At 38.7% G+C, this 18,635-nt stretch overlaps 1 pseudogene, besides 1 other annotated feature; it reads left to right on the top strand.

Annotated features, from left to right (window-relative positions):
* Positions 1,751–2,354: an enhancer, noted in NCBI's record as "OCT4-NANOG hESC enhancer chrY:13643820-13644423 (GRCh37/hg19 assembly coordinates)". NCBI's record gives its function as "activates a minimal SCP1, AML or CMV promoter by ChIP-STARR-seq in naive H9 embryonic stem cells {active_cell/tissue: H9 hESC(naive)}" and the evidence as "EXISTENCE:reporter gene assay evidence [ECO:0000049][PMID:30033119]".
* IGKV1ORY-1 (immunoglobulin kappa variable 1/ORY-1 (pseudogene)) lies at positions 16,260–16,736 on the top strand (annotated as a pseudogene).

Raw genomic sequence — 18,635 nt, 5'->3', positions numbered from 1 at the left:
CCATTCGGCTCCATTCCATTCAATTCGGTTCCATTCTATTCTGTTCCGTTCCATTCCAGTCCGTTCGATTCCCTTTTATTCCAGTCCATTCCATTCGAGTCCATTAAATTTCGTTCCATTCCATTTCATTCGATGCCATTCCATTCGGTTATATTCCATTCGTCGCCATTCCATCAATCATCAAAAGGAATCGAATGGAATCATAATCGAATGTAATCAAATGGAATCAACGAATGGAATTGAATGGAATCATCATCGAATGGATACAAATGGTATCATCCAATGGAATCGAATTTAAAATCATCGAATGGAATCATCAAATGGAATCATATGGAATCATCAAACAGAATTGAATGGTATCATCATCGAATGGAATCATCCAATGGAATGGAATGGAATCATCAAATGGAATCATTGAATGAAATTGAATGGAATCATCGAATGGAATCATCATCAAATGGAGTCGTCCAATAGAACCGAATTGAGTCATCATCACATGGAATCAAATGGAATCATCAAATGAAATCGAATGGAATCATCATCACATAGAATCGAAAGGAATCATCATCACATGGAATCGAATGGAATCATCATTGAATGGTATCAAAAGGAATCATCGAATGGAATCAAATGGAATAAATCGAATGGAATCGAATGGAATCATCATCGAATGGAATCGAATGGAATCATTGAATAGAATCAAATGGAATCATCAAAAGGAATCGAATGGAATCATAATCGAATGTAATCAAATGGAATCAACGAATGGAATTGAATGGAATCATCATCGAATGTTTACAAATGGTATCATCCAATGGAATCAAATTTAAAATCATCGAATGGAATCATCAAACAGAATTGAATGGTGTCATCATCAAATGGAATCATCCAATGGAATGGAATGGAATCATCCAATGGAATCATTGAATGAAATTGAATGGAATCATCGAATGGAATCATCATCGAATGGAATCAAATGGAATTGTCCAATGGAACCGAATTGAGTCATCATCACATGGAATCAAATGGAATCATCAAATGGAATCGAATGGAATCATCATCACATAGAATCGAAAGGAATCATCATCACATGGAATCGAAAGGAATCATCATTGAATGGTATCAAAAGGAACCATCAAATGGAATCGAATGGAATAAATTGAATGGAATCGAATGGAATCATATTCGAATGGAATCAAATAGAATCATTGAATGGAATCATCATTGAATGAAATCGAAAAGAATCATCGAATGGAATTGAATGCAATCATCATTGAATGGAATCAAATGGAATCATCATTGAGTGGAATCGAATAGAAACTTCGAAAGGAATCAAATGGAATAATCATCAAATGGAATCAAATGAAATCCTAGAATGGAATTGAAAGGTATCATCAAATGGAATTGAATGGAATTATTATCAAATGGAATCGAATAGAATCATGAAATGGAATCGAATGGAATCATCATCGTATGGAATAAAATGGAATCATTGAATGTAATCAAATGGAATCATCATTGAATGGAATCATAATAGTATGGAATTGAATGGAATAATCATCGAATGGAATCGAATGGAATCCTCGAATTTAATCGAATGAATTCATCAAATGAAATCAAATGGAATCATCATCGAAGGGAATCGAAATGAATTATCAAATGGAATCAAATAGAATCATCATTGAATGGAATCTAATGGAATCATCAAATGGAATTAATGCAATCATCATCTAATGCAATCTAATGGAGTCATTGAATGGAATTGAGTAGAATCATTATCGCATGGAATTGAATGGAATAATCTAATGGAATCATCATTGAATGGTATTGAAACAAATCATCAAATGGAATCTAATGGAATAAATCAAATGGAACCTAACGGAATCATCATCAAATGGAATTGAATTGAATCATTGAATGGAATCATGATTGAATGAAATTGATAAAAATCATCAAAAGGAATGGAATGGAATCATCATCGAATGGAATCAAATGGAATCATCATTGAATGGAATTGAATGGAATCATCAAAAGGAATCGAATGGAATAAACATCGAATGGAATCGAATGGAGTCATCGAATGGAATCGAGTGGAATCATCACTGAATGGAATCAAATGGAATCATTGAATGGAATCAAATGGAATCATCATTGAATGGAAGCGAATGGAATCATAGAACATAATCGAATACAATAATCGAATGGAATCAAATGGAATCATAATAGAATGGAATCGAACGGAATCATTGAATGGAATCAAATGCAATCATCATTGAATGGAATCAAAAGGAAGCATCAACGAATGGAATCGAATGGAATCATCAAAATGAATCTAATGGAATAAACATATATTGGAATTGAATGGAATCTTCGAATTGAATTGAATGGAATCATCTTCGAATGGAATCGAAAGGAATCATGGAATAGAATCGAATGGAAACATCATCACATGGAAGGAAATGGAATCATCAAATGGAATTGAATGGAATAATCATCAAATGGAATCATCGAATGGAATAGAATGGAATCATCGGATGGTATCATCCCATGTAATTGAATGGAATCATTGAATGGAATCAAATGGAATCATAAAATGGAATCAAATGGAATAAATGAATGGAATCGAATGGAATCATCATCAAATAGAATCGAATGGAGACATCCAATGGTGTCAAATGGAATCATCATTGAATGGAATCAAGTGGAATCATCATCGAATGGAATTGAATGGAACCTTCGAAAGGAAACGAATGGAATCATCATCGATTTGAATCAAATGGAATCATCATCGAATGGAATTGAATGGAATCATCGAATGGAATCGAATGGAATCATCATCGAATTGAATCAAATGGAATCATCATAGAATGGAATTATCATCCAATGGAATCGAATGGAATCATCATTGAATGGAATCAAATGGAATCATCAAATGGAATCGAATGTAATCATCGAATGAACTCTACTGGAATCATCATCGAATGGAATTGAATGGAATCATTGACTGGAATCGAATGGAATCATCCAATGGAATTGAATGGAATAATAATCAAATGGAATCATCGAATGGAATCAAATGGAATCATCGAATGGAATCGAATGGCGTCATCATTGAACAGAATAATCCAATGTAATCGAATGGAATCATCGAATGGAATCGAATGGAATCATCATCCAATGGAATCAAATGGAGTCATCCAATGGAATCGAATGGAATCACCATCAAATGGAATCATGGAATTAAATCGAATGGAATCATCATTGCATGGCATCGAATGGAATCATCATCACATGGAATCAAATGGAATCATCATCAAATGGTATCAAAAGGAAACATCGAATGGAATCTAATGGAACAAATCAAATTGAATCAAATGGAACCGTCATCGAATGGAATCAAATGGAATCATCAAATGGAATCATCATCCAATGAAATCGAAAAGAATCATCGAATGGAATCAAACGCAATCATCATCGCACAGAATCGAATGGAGTCATCATTGAATAGAATCGAACGGAATCATCGAAAATAATTGAATGGAACAATCATTGAATGGAATTGAATGAAATCTTAGAATGGAATCGAATGGAATCATCGAATGGAATCATATGGAATCATGATTGAATGGAATCATGTAATGGAATCAAATGGAAACATTGCATGGCATCAAATGGAATCATCGAATGGAATCGAACGGAATAATCATCGAATGGAATCGAATTCAATCATCGAATGGAATCGAAATGAATCATCGAATGGAATCATTGAATGGAATCAAATGGAATCATCATCTAATTTAATCGAATGGAATCATCCAATGGAATTGAATGCAATCATATAATGAAATCGAATCCAATCATCATCAAATAGAATCGAGTGGAATCATCGAATGGACTCAAGTGTCTGTTCAGACAGGTCTGGGGGATATCTAAAGGACTCATGAAAGGCTGTTTTTTTCTGTGTTGCTAGAATAAGGAACACATAAGGAATGGACATTTTTAAGAAACTCTGAAAGGAGACCTAACAAACCATGGATGCTTAGGGTATAAATTAGAGTTTACACATATAGTAGATCACCTTCAGCACAGGAAGAAAAGTTGGAGAAGAGTATTTGGAAAATTAAGACATTAAAAATCATTCACGTACATGGGAGAGTCTAGAAAGTCACATGTATGCATAGGTTAAGCCACATGCTGACAAATGTCATAAGAAGACCCTACACTTTTACCTTGGTTGATACCTCCCCTCAGTGCAAGCTCTGTGCAAGAGTCAACTTGAACTTCACTCAGTGCAAGAGTGAACACACACTTTGTGGCGGCTTTAAAGAACCCAGGACAAAGCCAGTCTGCATGGCCTAGAGATATATTTTGCTGGGTAATGACTACTTGTTTTTCTTTGTTTTTGTTGTATTTCCCTGTTTGCTTAGTTCCTGACATACAAGAAAGTCACTGCCAAAACATTAGCTTAACATTTGTTAAGGAAGCAAAAAAACTTTGGTGACCACACCTTATAAAGCAAACTGTTTTGTAAATCACTTTGGAAAATTTCACTAAAAAAAAATCCTTAACCATATAATAAGTAAAGAAAATTTAAAACCACAAAACATTACTGTGTTTGTAGGGGGGGGTTCTGATTTACAGAGTAACCACATAGTAATTATAATTATTATAATGTCCAGTTTTCAAAAAAAAGGTACAAGGCATACAAAGAACGGGAAAGTATGGCTCATTCAAAGGAACAAAACAAATTGACAGAGAATATATATAAGGAAACCCAGACATTAAACTTACTAGACAAATACTTTAAAACAACTCTCTTAATTATACTCAAATGTAAAAAGGAAAACATAAACAAAGAAATCAAGCAATCAGAAAAAAATATTAAAAAGTAGGAATATCAACAGAAATAACGGAAATTCTGGAGCGGAAAACTACAACGATAAAAATTTTAAAATCACCAGAGGGATTTAAGAGTATATTTGCACACACAGAAGAAAACGTGAGCTTGAAGATAAGAAAATGGAAAACATTGACTCTGAGAAACAGATAAAAAATGAGCAGAGACTAATGAATCTGTGGGACATTATCAAATAGACCAACATTCATATTCTAAAAGGATAAATTATGTTGTTGAAAACTTTAGCATTCTTTCTTTTCACCTTTCTTTCTTCCTCCCTCCCCCTCCTCCTCCTTTTTACTTTTCTTTCTCTTCCTTTCTCTTCTTCTCTCTCCTTCATTATCCCTTTTGCTCTGTTTCTCCTTCTCGCTTTCTCTTTTCTTTCAATTATCTCAATTACTAAGAGATGTTTAAATACCCTTACCATGTGAGTTGATATGGTTATTTCTCCCTTTAGTTCTCTTTTGAGATTTATAGTCACTCTAAGTAAAGAGATAACCCAAACATAAGCCTCACAAACAGGCTTCCATACCATTCTAAATTTGGTCCTGTAATTCTTCATTGCTGTATTAAATTTCTGATGCTTTTAAGGATGTTTTATAACAAATTGTTTAGTTTTTTCCAATGGAATATTTATTCTGAATTATCTAATTCATATTGTAATTATAGAGGGAGTTTAATATAAAATTATTAAACTGATATTTGTGAATGAATGTATTTGTGCATTTAACAAATATGTTAATCTTCAGACTGTTATTGGGCAGCTGAACATACAGCAATAAAAATAACATAATTTTTATGTGTACAGTATTTATGGAATACGTTACTGGACCAAATAAATAATTTAGTTAATAACATGACAAAGAACAGAAATTGTATACACTATAGAGCATAGTAATGGAATAATGAATGATTAAAGTTATTAATATTAGGTAGAAAATGAAGGGTATCTTTGAGAGCAGAACTCAAGTAAGCAAGCAATTCGCCTGATGAGGAAGGAGTTACCTGTGGATAAAGGAGAAACTGAAAAATTTACAAGTCAAGACTTTTTGAGCAAAAACAAAAATATGACTATTAGTCACCTATTCAGTACAGTGAAAAAAAAGTTGAAGAGACATCTTGGAAGTAAACCATGTTGTGGAAGAGCATGTACGGTTTTGATAATCATGGGATTATTCTGAATTAATTTTAAATGTGATAGGAATATATGAGATAATTTCACCAGAGAATAACATGATTGGGTTTGCATTTCAAAGGGGTGTATCTCGTGCACTGTGTAGAATAAACAGGTTATGTGAGCAAATAAATTGGGAGGTTACTCTAATCCAGAGAAAAAAGGTAATGACTTAGGTGAGAATGCTGTCAGGATGAGTGGTAGTAGTGGTGAGAAGTCGTTAGGCCATGGATGTATTTCATAGGACTGGCCAAGAGAACTGCAGCTAAATTGGAGTGTAGGGAGTGAAATGGAGAACTCAAAGATGACTCTCAGCACTGGAAGGTGACAGCTGTCACTGAAGCATGCTGAAACCTCTTATTAAGAGAGTTACTTGGGAATGGTAAGCTCAAAACTTCTCACTTTCAAAATTATGAAAAATATTGTTTTCAGGACGAATGACTTTGGGATCAGAAAGCCACCGTTCTAATTGATGGTTCCACGGCTACACGGGCTCACACTCCCAAGAGCAAAAGTAAATCATCACAAAGGTGCTTCTTGATAATTCTAGAGAATGGAGAATTACTGTTAACAACTTTCTGATTTTAGGAGAGGCAGCAGTTCCCTTTTTAGCATAAACGCTATTTTTTTAAAGTTCAGCCAATAGACTCCATTATAATTTTCACATGTGTGTAACTTAAATTCTCATATGAAATACCACTATGCTTAAATTAGTCAAAACATTTTCCCCATCTGCAACTTTATCTTGTCATTGCAATCATTTTCACAAAAGTGACTGCAGCTCACAGACCCTAAAAGGAGAAAATCCAGGGCAGGTTATCTGATCTAGTTAGTTTGGAAGACAGGATCTAGAGATTATTTAATATGAAATAGGTCACCTGAAATGAAGTGTTTACTGAAAACAGCTTGGATCAGCCCAGTTTTCTACCACTGAACCATGCATTTGCATTAAAAAACACAACAACTCTGGGGAATATTAGCTGCTTCCAACTGTGTTGAAGGTGTTAAAGAAAAGAGCATAAAATTAAAAATGATCATCTGAGGCCTTTATAGTCTCTGCTCAAGAGACTAGAATCTTCTATTCTTAGCGAAACACCGAAATATCTTAATAATTGGGCAAAATCTAAATATCAGAGAGATAATTTTATCTTGAAGATTGTTAAATTATAATGGTGATTCACTACCTTGTCACGTCTCTGAGTCAAAAATTAGATCTTTGTTTAGGAATCAATGGTACTCTGCAACTTGGAAATAGGAAGATTTTAGATGACTCAGACTGACTTTCTTGTGTGCAAAAAAAGACGTATTGAGATAAGACAAGTCTTTCCTTGCAAGGATACCTCTAATGCTCATACACCACCTCCCCTAACATTAATATAGCTTCCAGGTCACTAACCAGTGTCAGAGAGCAGCCCATGCAACTAGAAATTCAAAAGATGTCAATCATAGGGTCAAGCCTAGAATAAGAACTCTTAGCTACTTAAGTATGCTTTTTTCCCCAAATTCATATTAACAAAAACTTGGATATGTCAGAGAATGCATTCTAAGTTCACTCAACCTAGGAGGGAGAAACATAATTTTAAATTAAGAGCTGAAGCATTCTTGTCCTAACAGAAAGCAAGGAAAACGAAATATCACACCACAGGAGGGATTTCACAAATTAGTGTCAACATCAAAACCTTAAAATAGGCAAGGAGAATGCAGATTCACAATGAAATTTTGTACTTGTTTTGTTCAGAGAAGAGATGGTTCTGAGAGAATGACAGTGAACTAACCCCAGCTGGTTTAGTTGGTGCTTTCAACTGCTGCTTCTGATCAACTCCTTTAGCTAGAATAAATTGATGAGGATTTTGGCATGTGGTATTAGAGATGGTTATTAATTTTTTCCTCTTATTTGCATTCTTCAATGTAGTAAATACTAGCTGTATAGGCTTCTTCAATTCAAATTAATTACAATGAAATATACTTCAATATTGAAATTTTAGTCACTGTTGGTTCATTATTGAATATCTTCGGCTAAGATTTCCCATCTAAATACACTAAGAGGTGGCTTAGTTAACTGGTCGTCCACAAATATTGAAGCTGTTGTTAACTCCTGATATATTCTCTGCAAAGAGAATATTCATGAGCTTCCTCCTAAAATCAGCAGCCTAGAGATAGTTTTATAAATTGGATATCAGTTGGAAATCTATCCTCCTTAAGATTTTGAAATATTAGCTTCCCAGGGAAGAAAATCAAATTCATAAGATATGTTAGGACAATTTAACTCAAGATGTTCAAAACTGAAATGACATATTCTACAATATGTGATAAAACCACCCCCTAACAACTTAAAGCAAAACAGGGATTGACCTTAAAGAGCTGACTTTTCCTCATCCCCCAGACAATCAGTTTTCAAATCTTGCATTTTATTTTGAAAGGTCCTTATCCCCCTGGTCTCTTGTTTCTAGACTTGGCACATAATTAAGTTTGTTACCTCTATCTTCTGACTTTTCTCTCTTCAAACGTATCTATGCCTGCCAAATGTGAACATACAAAAAACAAATCAGAATGTGCAATTCTGATTTAAACTGCTTATAAGTTAATACCCTCAAGGTAACATCTGGGTTCTTAGCTGCAATGAGTCAAGCCTACTTACATCTTTTTTTGTCTTTGGCTGCACATTTCCTATCACATCAGACTCCAGCAATGCCAAGCTGTGCCGGCCTTCTACCCCATCTCCACTATTTTGCCCTCCGCCTCCGCGGCTTTTTGCCCCCACGCCGCCACGGCTTTTTGCCCCCTGAAGTCGCGGCTTTTTGCCCCCCATCTCCACGGCTTTTTGCACCCCGCCGCCGTGGCTTTTTGCCCCATGGTCATCCTCAGAAGCGTGAGTGGAACAGAGTGAAGGGAAAGCTGTTTTCTTCTAAAGCTCAAAAATCTTGAACTTTCAAATAGGGATAAGTGTTATTTTTGCTCCAAGCACACATTTGAGAAATCTTCCATTTAGCGGATCTGATGATAAACCCACATTTTTTGTTTGTTTTAATCTGAAAATGTATTTGTATGGTTTATGGAAATATTTTTTGCATATAAAATTATATTTCATCAGCTTATTTCAAGTTTTATTTACCATTTGATAATTACTCCTAAAATGTAATTGATTAAAGAAAGAATCATCTATTGCTCCATCTGTTCTTTACTAAAGGTAATTTGTCTTTTTAACCTCATCAGGCTCCTTTTAAGCTCTCAAACTGACCTTATTTTTTTTTTACAGATTCAATGCATTAAGTCAATTTATTATTTATGATGAATTTATTTATGTATTTATTTTCGCTATCACAAGTAGAAAAAGCCTGTAAGTTGCTATGCCAAAAACCTGCCTCTAGATGGCAAACAAACCCCACAATACACAAAAGAGAGCCAAATTCTTAGAAACCCTGGGAAAGGAAGAGGACTACTGTCCCATTAACAACTTGGAGCCCTTAAGGCAAGAATGAGGTGGAACATCTGGAACATCTGGGAGGAGACACCAGGGTGCGGAGTAGTGGGGAACCTGCTCTGTGCTCTGAGACTGAAAGCCCAGCCTTGCCTCTCACCGCTGCCTTGACTGTGTCCCCATCTGCTCTGAAGTGAATGGTGTCTTCTAAATTCATGCTGAGCCCTAATTGCTGAAAAATGTAAGACATGCAATGGGGGGATTATGTGCATTTTCCCGACACCAACATGATGCTCAGGAAGATGACTTCTTGTTTTCTCTTAGGATTCTCTTACTAATCAAGATTTTGCCTCTACTGCATATTTCCCTTTGTTGATTGTCCCTCCCTTTTGACAGAAGATGGCCCAGGGCATTCACTACTAAGTCTCAACCTCTTACCCAAAGCCCTCAGTCTAGTGTTGCTCTTTTCTTCATGCTATTTTTGTTTGTTTCTTTTCTTGTAATCATCTTGGCAATAAAATAATCACTTTTTTCTTTCTGCCTATTAAAGATGTTACCTTAGTTAATTACAGTGGTTTCCTTCAGAATTATAAATGGTCTTTCAAAATGATGTAAAGAAATCTAAATCCGTGTGCTCCAGAAGTTGAATGAAGCTCTGTCTAGCACGGGTGCCAGTGACTCTCCCAGAGTGCTCCATGCAGCTGGCCCCACAGAGTCCCTCTGTGCTGTCATATCACCCACTGCCTTCTGTGAATGAGATATTCTGATTGGAATCCTGGTGGATGCTATTTGAGCCAGTGCCCTCACAACTCCTATGAAGGCTAAGGACCACAGGCCCCTGAAGACAATCACAGGTCTCTAGATTCAGAGCTCATGACCGTTCTCTGCAGACACAGCTTCTCCCCGGATGGCTGAGGGTTGTCATTGGCTGTGTCCTTCCTTGTGCATGACAACAGGAGACATAGAAGGTCTGTAAGCAGCCCTGCAAGCCAGGTTCTGAGCATGCCTTCCTGTGTGGGACCCTCTTACCTGGACACAGGTGTGTAAACCAAAAATGAAACTCTAAGCTCCCTAACCAACTGAATGAGCTCCTCCTCTCAGCCAAGGACACACCAAAATCAACCTGAAATGCAATGCAGTCCATGATCGGAACGGATGATTGGATATGCCTTAACTTGCCCTCTTCCCTTTAAAATTCAGGCACAACTGACCAGCTTTTAATAAGAAGACAGAGACCTTGAGACTGACAAAGAAAACTCTTTATAGCAATAAGATACCAATGTGAGAGATACCACGTCCTAAGAGAAATAAAAGTATTTTCCCCAAGATATTGTTATTTAATGTATTTTAAAATGTCTCTGCAAAGCTGGTTCTTGTGGGAAAAATCTACATTCTGTAGAGATTACTTTTTAAGTCTCTTTCCTGACCCAGAGAGATTTAACTAAGAGTTTGGCACCTTTTAAGTCTACTAAGAAACAATTACAATCTATTCTCTCTGAAGCCTGCTACCTGGAAGCTTCATCTGCACGATGCAACCTTGGCTCCAAAACCCTTTTTCGAAACCCAGAAACTCCCTTGTGTTGATTACAGGTCATTAGATAAACTCTTTCAAACACCTATGAAATCTTTGAATCCACCTATGACCTGGAAGTCCCCAACATCCCCCCTCCTTCGGGCTGTCCTGTCTTTCCATATCAAAGCAATGTACAGCTTACACGTATTGATTGATATCTTATGTCTCCCTAAAACGTGTAAAACCAACCTGTAGCCCGACGACCTTTGACACGTTCTCAAGACCTCCTGAGGCTGTTTCACTGATATTTCTTTAACTTTGACCAAATAAATTTCTAAACTGATTGAGACTTTTCTCAGATACTTATTTGTTTATAGGTGTCACTGGATACACTTAAGGAATTGAAGAGATTTATGACATTGAGAAAAGGAGGAAGCCAGGGTGTGTGGAGAGAGAGAGAGAGAGAGAGAGAGATTATGATGTATGTACAGGACTAACACTGAGACCTGGTTATGTAATGGTGTAGTACTGAGTATCATCCCCAAATAGTGAAGTTTCATTCCAAGAAGACTATGCATGTATCTCATTTGGGAAAACAGCTTTTGCAGGTGTAAATTAAGGAGCTTGAAACAGGGAGATGGTCTTAGATTAATCAACTGGGACTTAAATGGAAACTCACGTGTCCTAAAAAAAACAAGAGGTAGAGAGACATTTAGCATAGACTGAAGTGGAGAAGGCAATGTGAACACAGAGACAGAGATTGCAGTGATGTGTCCACATCCTGGGAGGGAGAAGCCACCAGAAGCTGGAAGAGCTAAATCAGACTGCTCCCTAGAGCTTCAGAAGGAGCCAGAACTGATGACTCCAAGATCTTAGCCCAGTGAAACTGATCTGGACTTCTGAACTATGAGAGATTCTATTCCTGTTGTTTGAAGCTACCACGTTTTTGAGAACTTTCTACAGTAGCCCGAGGACACTAACACAAATGGGGCTCCGGGAAAATCCAGACTAAAAGTATTGTGTTGGTTTACAATCTCCTTGCTTAACTTTCTGATATTAGACATAAATAGATTGGTGAAAAATTTTGTGATTGAAGAAATGTACATGAAACCTACAGTGTACAGAGAAGCATCTGTTAGTTATAAGATAAATATTGATAATTTTAGTTGAAAATGACATATGACTGTGAATATCTCACATAACATTCTGAGTTACTCAAGAATGCATAAAAGGGGCACTAGATACGCTTCTCATATATGTGTGTCTGTCTATACATGTATGTACACTTCATGGTGCATCAGCTGGAGGAACCCTTAGGACACCCCTTCACATCCTCAGTGCCCCATTTCACACATGAGGAAACTGTTCATGACAGCACATGGCTGATTTGCATAAAAGTCACTTGGTCAGCAGTTGTTGAAGCTGAACTTGGAGTCTAGGTCTGTCTGACCTTAACTATGTTCCTTCCACATAGCCACGTTCATTCCATAGAGGAACCCATCACCTATAAAACCAGAAAAGAGACAAAGCCAGAAGTGCAGGGTGGATTTCTTAACACAAGCTAACTGCGACCTCTAGTCCTCATCACGCTGACACTAAGCTTAAACCCAGACCCTTCTACAGTTTTGTCTACAAAGCACAATTTGCCCAAAGCCTTTACAAACACCAACAGCCTTTCTTTCAGATATGGCAGCAGGGTCACATCTTACACGGCCCTGACCACATTTTATCTCCTCTGCCATCCCCATCTCTCTGACTCAGTTCTCGCTTGCAACCATAAAAAAGGATGAGTTCATGTCCTTTGTAGGGACATGGATGAAGCTGGAAACCATCATTCTCAGTAAACTATCGCAAAGACAAAAAAAAAAACAATCACTGCATGTTCTCACTCACAGGTGGGAAATGAACAATGAGAACATATGGACACAGGAAGGGGAACATCACACACCAGGGCCTGTTGTGGGGTGGGTGGAGGGGGGAGGGATAGCATTAGGAGGTATACCTAATGTAAATGACGAGTTAATGGGTGCAGCACACCAACATGGCACCTGTATACATATGTAACAAACCTGCACGTTGTGCACATGTACCCTAGAACTTAAAGAACAACAACAATAATAATAATAAGAAGAAGAAGAAGAAGAAGAAGAAGAGGAAGAAGAATGGGTCTTGTACATCTAGTTTGCCCCACAAATGTTAAAACAGCAAACCCGCATCTCCTTCCTCTTCTCATGTGCTGTGAGGGATGACCTCCAGGCTCTCAGATACCGAGATTGTACAAGACCTAACCCAGAGAATTACTCAGGACACTTTCTACATAAGAAGAATTGTGGTGCTAGCTCTCCTCATAGAAAAATGTTTTCTGTCTCTTGTTGAAATTGACAGCAAACACAAAAACACAGAACTATTTGGGAGAACAGAGGACAGTGATACACTAGGGAAGTAAAACACACCCCTTCCCCTTGCATTGGTTTCCTGTTGCTGCTGAAACAAATTACCACAACCTTACTGCTCCACATAACACAAGTGCATTATCTTACATTTCTGGAGGTCAGAAGTCTCAATGAAGTAAAATCAAGGAGTAATAGGGCTCTATTCATTGTAGACTTCAAGAGAGAGAATCTAATATCGAGCATTCCACCCTTCTGATGTTCCCACATTCCTAGCAGCATGGCTCCTTCCTCCATCACTCCAGTTTCCATGTCCATTGTCCCAGGTCCTTTTTGGCTGTTACCTTCCTCCCTCCCTATTTTAAGGACACTTGTGATTATGATGGTCTCACCTAGATAATTCAGGTTACTCTCCTAACCCCAAAATTCTCAACCATGTCTGCCAAGTTATTTTTGACATATTAATAAGTAATGATGATAGATTTCAGATATTAGGACAGTGATGTCTTTAGTGGGTGTATTATTCATTGCACAAACAACTCTCATCATTCACACAATGGTCTTCCCCTAAGGCAGAATAAAAATATCACAAGGCAGATTTATGAGGCAATTGACCTAGAAAAAACCTGAGACTCTAGGACTGTCTGATGTGTGGATGTCAAATCCTGGGGAGATTCTGAGTCTCTGCTCTATGTGGACTCTATGTTGTGTAGCCATTTGTGGAAGGCTTCTGTGATTTTGTGACCTAGAGAAAATGAATCTCTGCTAAAATCAAATCTAAGAAAGATTGGCAAAGGGAATTTAAAGATTTCCTAAATTTTTGGAATTTCCCTATGCATTAAAACTTGAGAAGTGGCAATAATTCAAACAAACGATGCCCTCCAAAAATGAGGATTTTTCCAATGCATTAGGTTGGATCCCCTCAGTGAGAAGGATGCCAAATATTCGCATGCAGGCAGTATATTTACAAAGCGTGGGAAACAAGCAAGTGAGCAAGGGAGGGGAGGAGGGAAAGGGAAAATGAAAGGTGCCTCAGAAGGAGCCACCTATGAGGATGATGAGAGCTCAAGCCCACATAGAAATACAGGAAAAATGACTCTGTTATTCCACCTGAGAGGTGAGGGAGCTGGGGGATGTGTACCCCTCCCTTGTCATCACTGATTGACAGCCATCCTAGGGGATGCTAATTCCAGGCCATGAGGTCTGCCTCATTTGCAGCCTGAGCTGCTTCCCCAGGTTCAGATAGAGCAGTGAAGGGGAGAAAGGGCCATAGAGAGTCAGCTGAAGTATAATGACTAGAATCCCCAAGGCGTAGTAACAATGACTGCTAAAATTATGCACAAAGAAAAAGCGCATTTGAATTCAGACATGTGTCTTTCTGAATCTGGATATATGGATCCTGGCAGCCTGTTCAGTAGCCATTTCCCAGAAATCTAGTCCTCTGGAAAAGCAGCAGGAGGTTTGTGCACAGGCTGCACTACCTTGGTCTGGCCACTGGTAGTCGTGCATGAGAACTACTCCCTGGAGTATTTCTCAGTCCACTGACACTGATGTAATTGGCTCCACTTCCCCTGCTGTTGAGCCAGGCCCACACGCCCTGGACAAAGGCATCTGTGTGAAGTATTGAGGTTCAAATCAGTGCTTAAGATATGTTTGGATGCAAAATATTTTTTCGTCTGCATGGGCAGTCTCTTGGCACAAGATGGAGATTCTCTCTAAATGGATGTGAGAGAGGGTGGCTGACATCTGGGTCAGGATGATGCCGTGGTGCATGGCAAGAACACGCATTGGGCAGCAGCTGCCCTCGCTAAGGAGAGAGGTTCACTGACCTGGCTTTTCCCCACTCACCTGCTCTCCAGAAAGCCAGACTCTAGGGCAGATTCACCTGAGACCCCAGGAACAGGCTGGTGGGGAGTGCAGCTCACAGCATTACTCAGGGGATGTGGCCTTTGTCATCCTACTTTGAAACAATTGACTATTTGAGCCTAGATTGATAGAGGGCTTCAAGTTGATTTTAATCCAGGCTTCTATAGTCAGCGAGTGAAACAGAGATTTTAGTTGAAATAATGAGACTTGGTATTACTAGTCAACACTCCATGCTGGAGAACCATAAGAAATTATACCAAAGGCAGGAAAGGGGATAGAATATGGGGATCATCACGCCAAGAATAAGGTGCAGCCCATTTAGCCCCGGAGTCTTAAAGAGACCCATAGCTCTGGATAATGGCATATCTATGCGTGACACAGTTATCATCTTTGTGCATCTTCAGAGAATTGTTTTTCCTTTTACTCCTAGGAACAATGTCTTAAGTTTGTTAGTAAATTCTATTGAATTTATTAAAGACGCTTCTGATAAATTCTTTTTATATTCATTTCATAAAAGAAGCAATTTCACACTGACAGAGACATTTTTATTATAGCACTAAATACTCTTACACTCATCAAATTCCTTTGAGACTAACTGAAATTTCTGACAGCCCCACATTCTACAATATTATTGTAAATTTTCTGCCAAAAATGATGCTTTCCTATACACTCCTAATACAAGTATAAATATATTATTTAATCTAGTCTTAGGTTGATTTAAAATTTGAAAATTCACTACAAAAATATGTTCTGTAACCATATGGCCACCAATGAGAAGTGTGATCTTTCAAGGTAAATCTGTGCTGCCCTGGTCTGACCTGGGACTCTGGGGATACTGCCCCCCTGTGCTGAGTTACTGAGATGAGCCAGCCCTGCAGCTGTGCTCAGCCTGCCCCATCCCCTGCTGACTTGCCTGTTCCTAGAGCACAGCCTCCTGCCCTGAAGACTTTTTATAGGCTGGTCACACACGGTGCAGGAGTCAGCCCCAGTCAGGACACAGCACGGATGTGAGGGCCCCCACTCAGCTCCTGGGGCTCCTGGTGTTCTGGCTGCCAGGTAAGGAAGGAGAACACTAGGATTATACTCGGTCAGTGTGCTCAGTACTGTCTGGAACTTCAGGGAAGTCCTCTGATAACATGATTAATTGCAAGAATATTTGTTTTTATGTTTCCAACTTCAGGTGTCAGATGTGACATCCAGATGACCCAGTCTCCATCCTCCCTGTCTGCATCTGTAGGAGACAGAGTCACCATCACTTGCCGGGCGAGTCAGGGCATTATCAATAATTTAAATTGGTATCAGAAGAAACCAGGGAAAACTCCTAAGCTCCTGATCTATGCTGCATCCAGTCTGCAAAGTGGGATTCCCACTCGGTTCAGTGACAGTGGATCTGGGACAGATTACACTCCCACCATCAGCAGCCTGCAGCCTGAAGATTTTGCAACTTACTACTGTCAACAGAGTGACAGTACCCCTCCCATAGTGTTACAAGTCATAACATAAACCCCAAGGAAGCAGATGTGTGAGGCTGAGCTGCCCCAATGCTCCTTCTGGTGCCTCTATCTGCTGAGGGAAGTTCTCAAACTCAGTCAGGTTTGGAAAGTCATTGGGAGATTTTCCTAGAGGAGGCCAGGGAGGTTCCTCTGAACCCTAAGCCTCTTTCGCCCTCATCCCCAGCAGAAAAGACGTGACAATGCCTGTCCTGACTGAATAAAGAAGAGAGATAAGTCCAGCTGAGGAGTCTGTGTTATGGGATAATAGGAATTTGTACAGCAAAAGAGAAGCTATTCTCAGTATTTCAAGGAGAAATTATTCAAGCTGAATAAATTAAAGTCTAAACCACAGTCCTTCCGAAGCCTATGAAGTGTTATTCATGAAGCAGGTACTAGACACAGGGGATTCTCAGGTGCTACTTCAGAAGCCAACGTGCACCTGCCCCTGGTGGTATGTGCTGAACACCGTGTGATGATCCTCAGTCCTGTCTGGGAATCCCAGGGCTGGGGGTGCTGATGCTCTCAGCTGCCTGCAGCGCATCTCCAGGTGATTCTCCAGTCCACACCTAACTGCATATGTTTTACTTCAGGTGTCAGTGTACATGAATCCACCACTCTGACTTCCCAATCTCATGACAGTAATTAGTTGTAATTTATTGTAACCTCATGGAGCTATTCTAAAGAAATCATAGAGAGAAAAGGAGTTTTGGAAAATGTGCTCCCAGAAGTGATAGTAATGATGGGGAATTGACAGCTGATGGGGAAGTAAGGTGACTCTTTCCACAAGGCTTAACGTTTCACCAGTTATGAATTGTTGCAAAATACATTTGAATGTGCTTTCAAGTATTACCAGTTTGGGGTCATAGCTGAAAAACTTTATTAAGTCACAGATAAAATGGGAAAATCAGGAAATTGTATGAAATATACAATAACACTGTGTGTGACAGCTCAGGTCTGTAATCCTGTGATAGTTAATACTGACTGTCAACTTGACTACATTGAAGGATGTAAGCATTGCTCCTGGGTGTGTCTGTGAGGGTGTTTCCAAAGGAGATTAATATTTGAGTCCGTAGTCTGGGGAAGGCAGACCCCCTACTTAATCTATGGGCACCACTTAATCAGCTGCCAGTGAATATAAAGCAGGCAGAAAAAAGTGAAAAAGTGAGTCTGGCCCAGCCTCCCAGCCTACATCTCTCTCCCGTGCTGGATGCTTCCTACCCTTGAACATCGGACTCCAAGTTCTTTAGTTTTGAGACTCGAGCTGGCTCTCCTTACTCCTCACTCCTCATGCCTGCAGACAGTCTACTGTGGGACCTTGTGAACTGTAAGTTAATATGTAATATATATAATACATATATTATATATTATATATATGGTATATAATATATATATATAGAACTTATTAGTTCTGTCCCTCTAGAGAACCCTCACTAATACAGATTTTAGTACCAGGAATAGTTCTGCAGGAACAGAATATTAAGGTTGGAGTTCTTTTGTTGGTTTTGGGGTTTCTGGATTTGGCTGCTAAATATGACTAGATCCCAAAATGCTAAGGACTCTACTTTTAATAGTGTAGAGAACATTGACAGTTCTTGGCATGAAAGGTTTAAAGAGCTATGCAAAACAAATTCATTTGACCCTAATGAATCATCGCTCGTGAGAGGCAAGGAGTTTAGTGACTCTGTACCTATTACCTTTGACAAACACCTTGCAAAATAGATTTGTGAGGACAGCACCTGCATCTTTGAAGAGCCCTGTAAAGGCTCTTCTCTGTATGTCAGATCTAATGGTGAGAACTGCAGTCACTCAGTTACAGAAGTTAAATACAATTTGGAATAATTGGATCCTGAAGTGGCAGGGGCCAAGTGGTAGCACTCAACCCTC

The sequence above is a fragment of the Homo sapiens genome, chromosome Y, assembly GCF_000001405.40.
Source record: "Homo sapiens chromosome Y, GRCh38.p14 Primary Assembly".
Lineage (NCBI taxonomy): Eukaryota > Metazoa > Chordata > Mammalia > Primates > Hominidae > Homo > Homo sapiens.
This window is presented reverse-complemented; position numbering and strand designations above follow the sequence as displayed.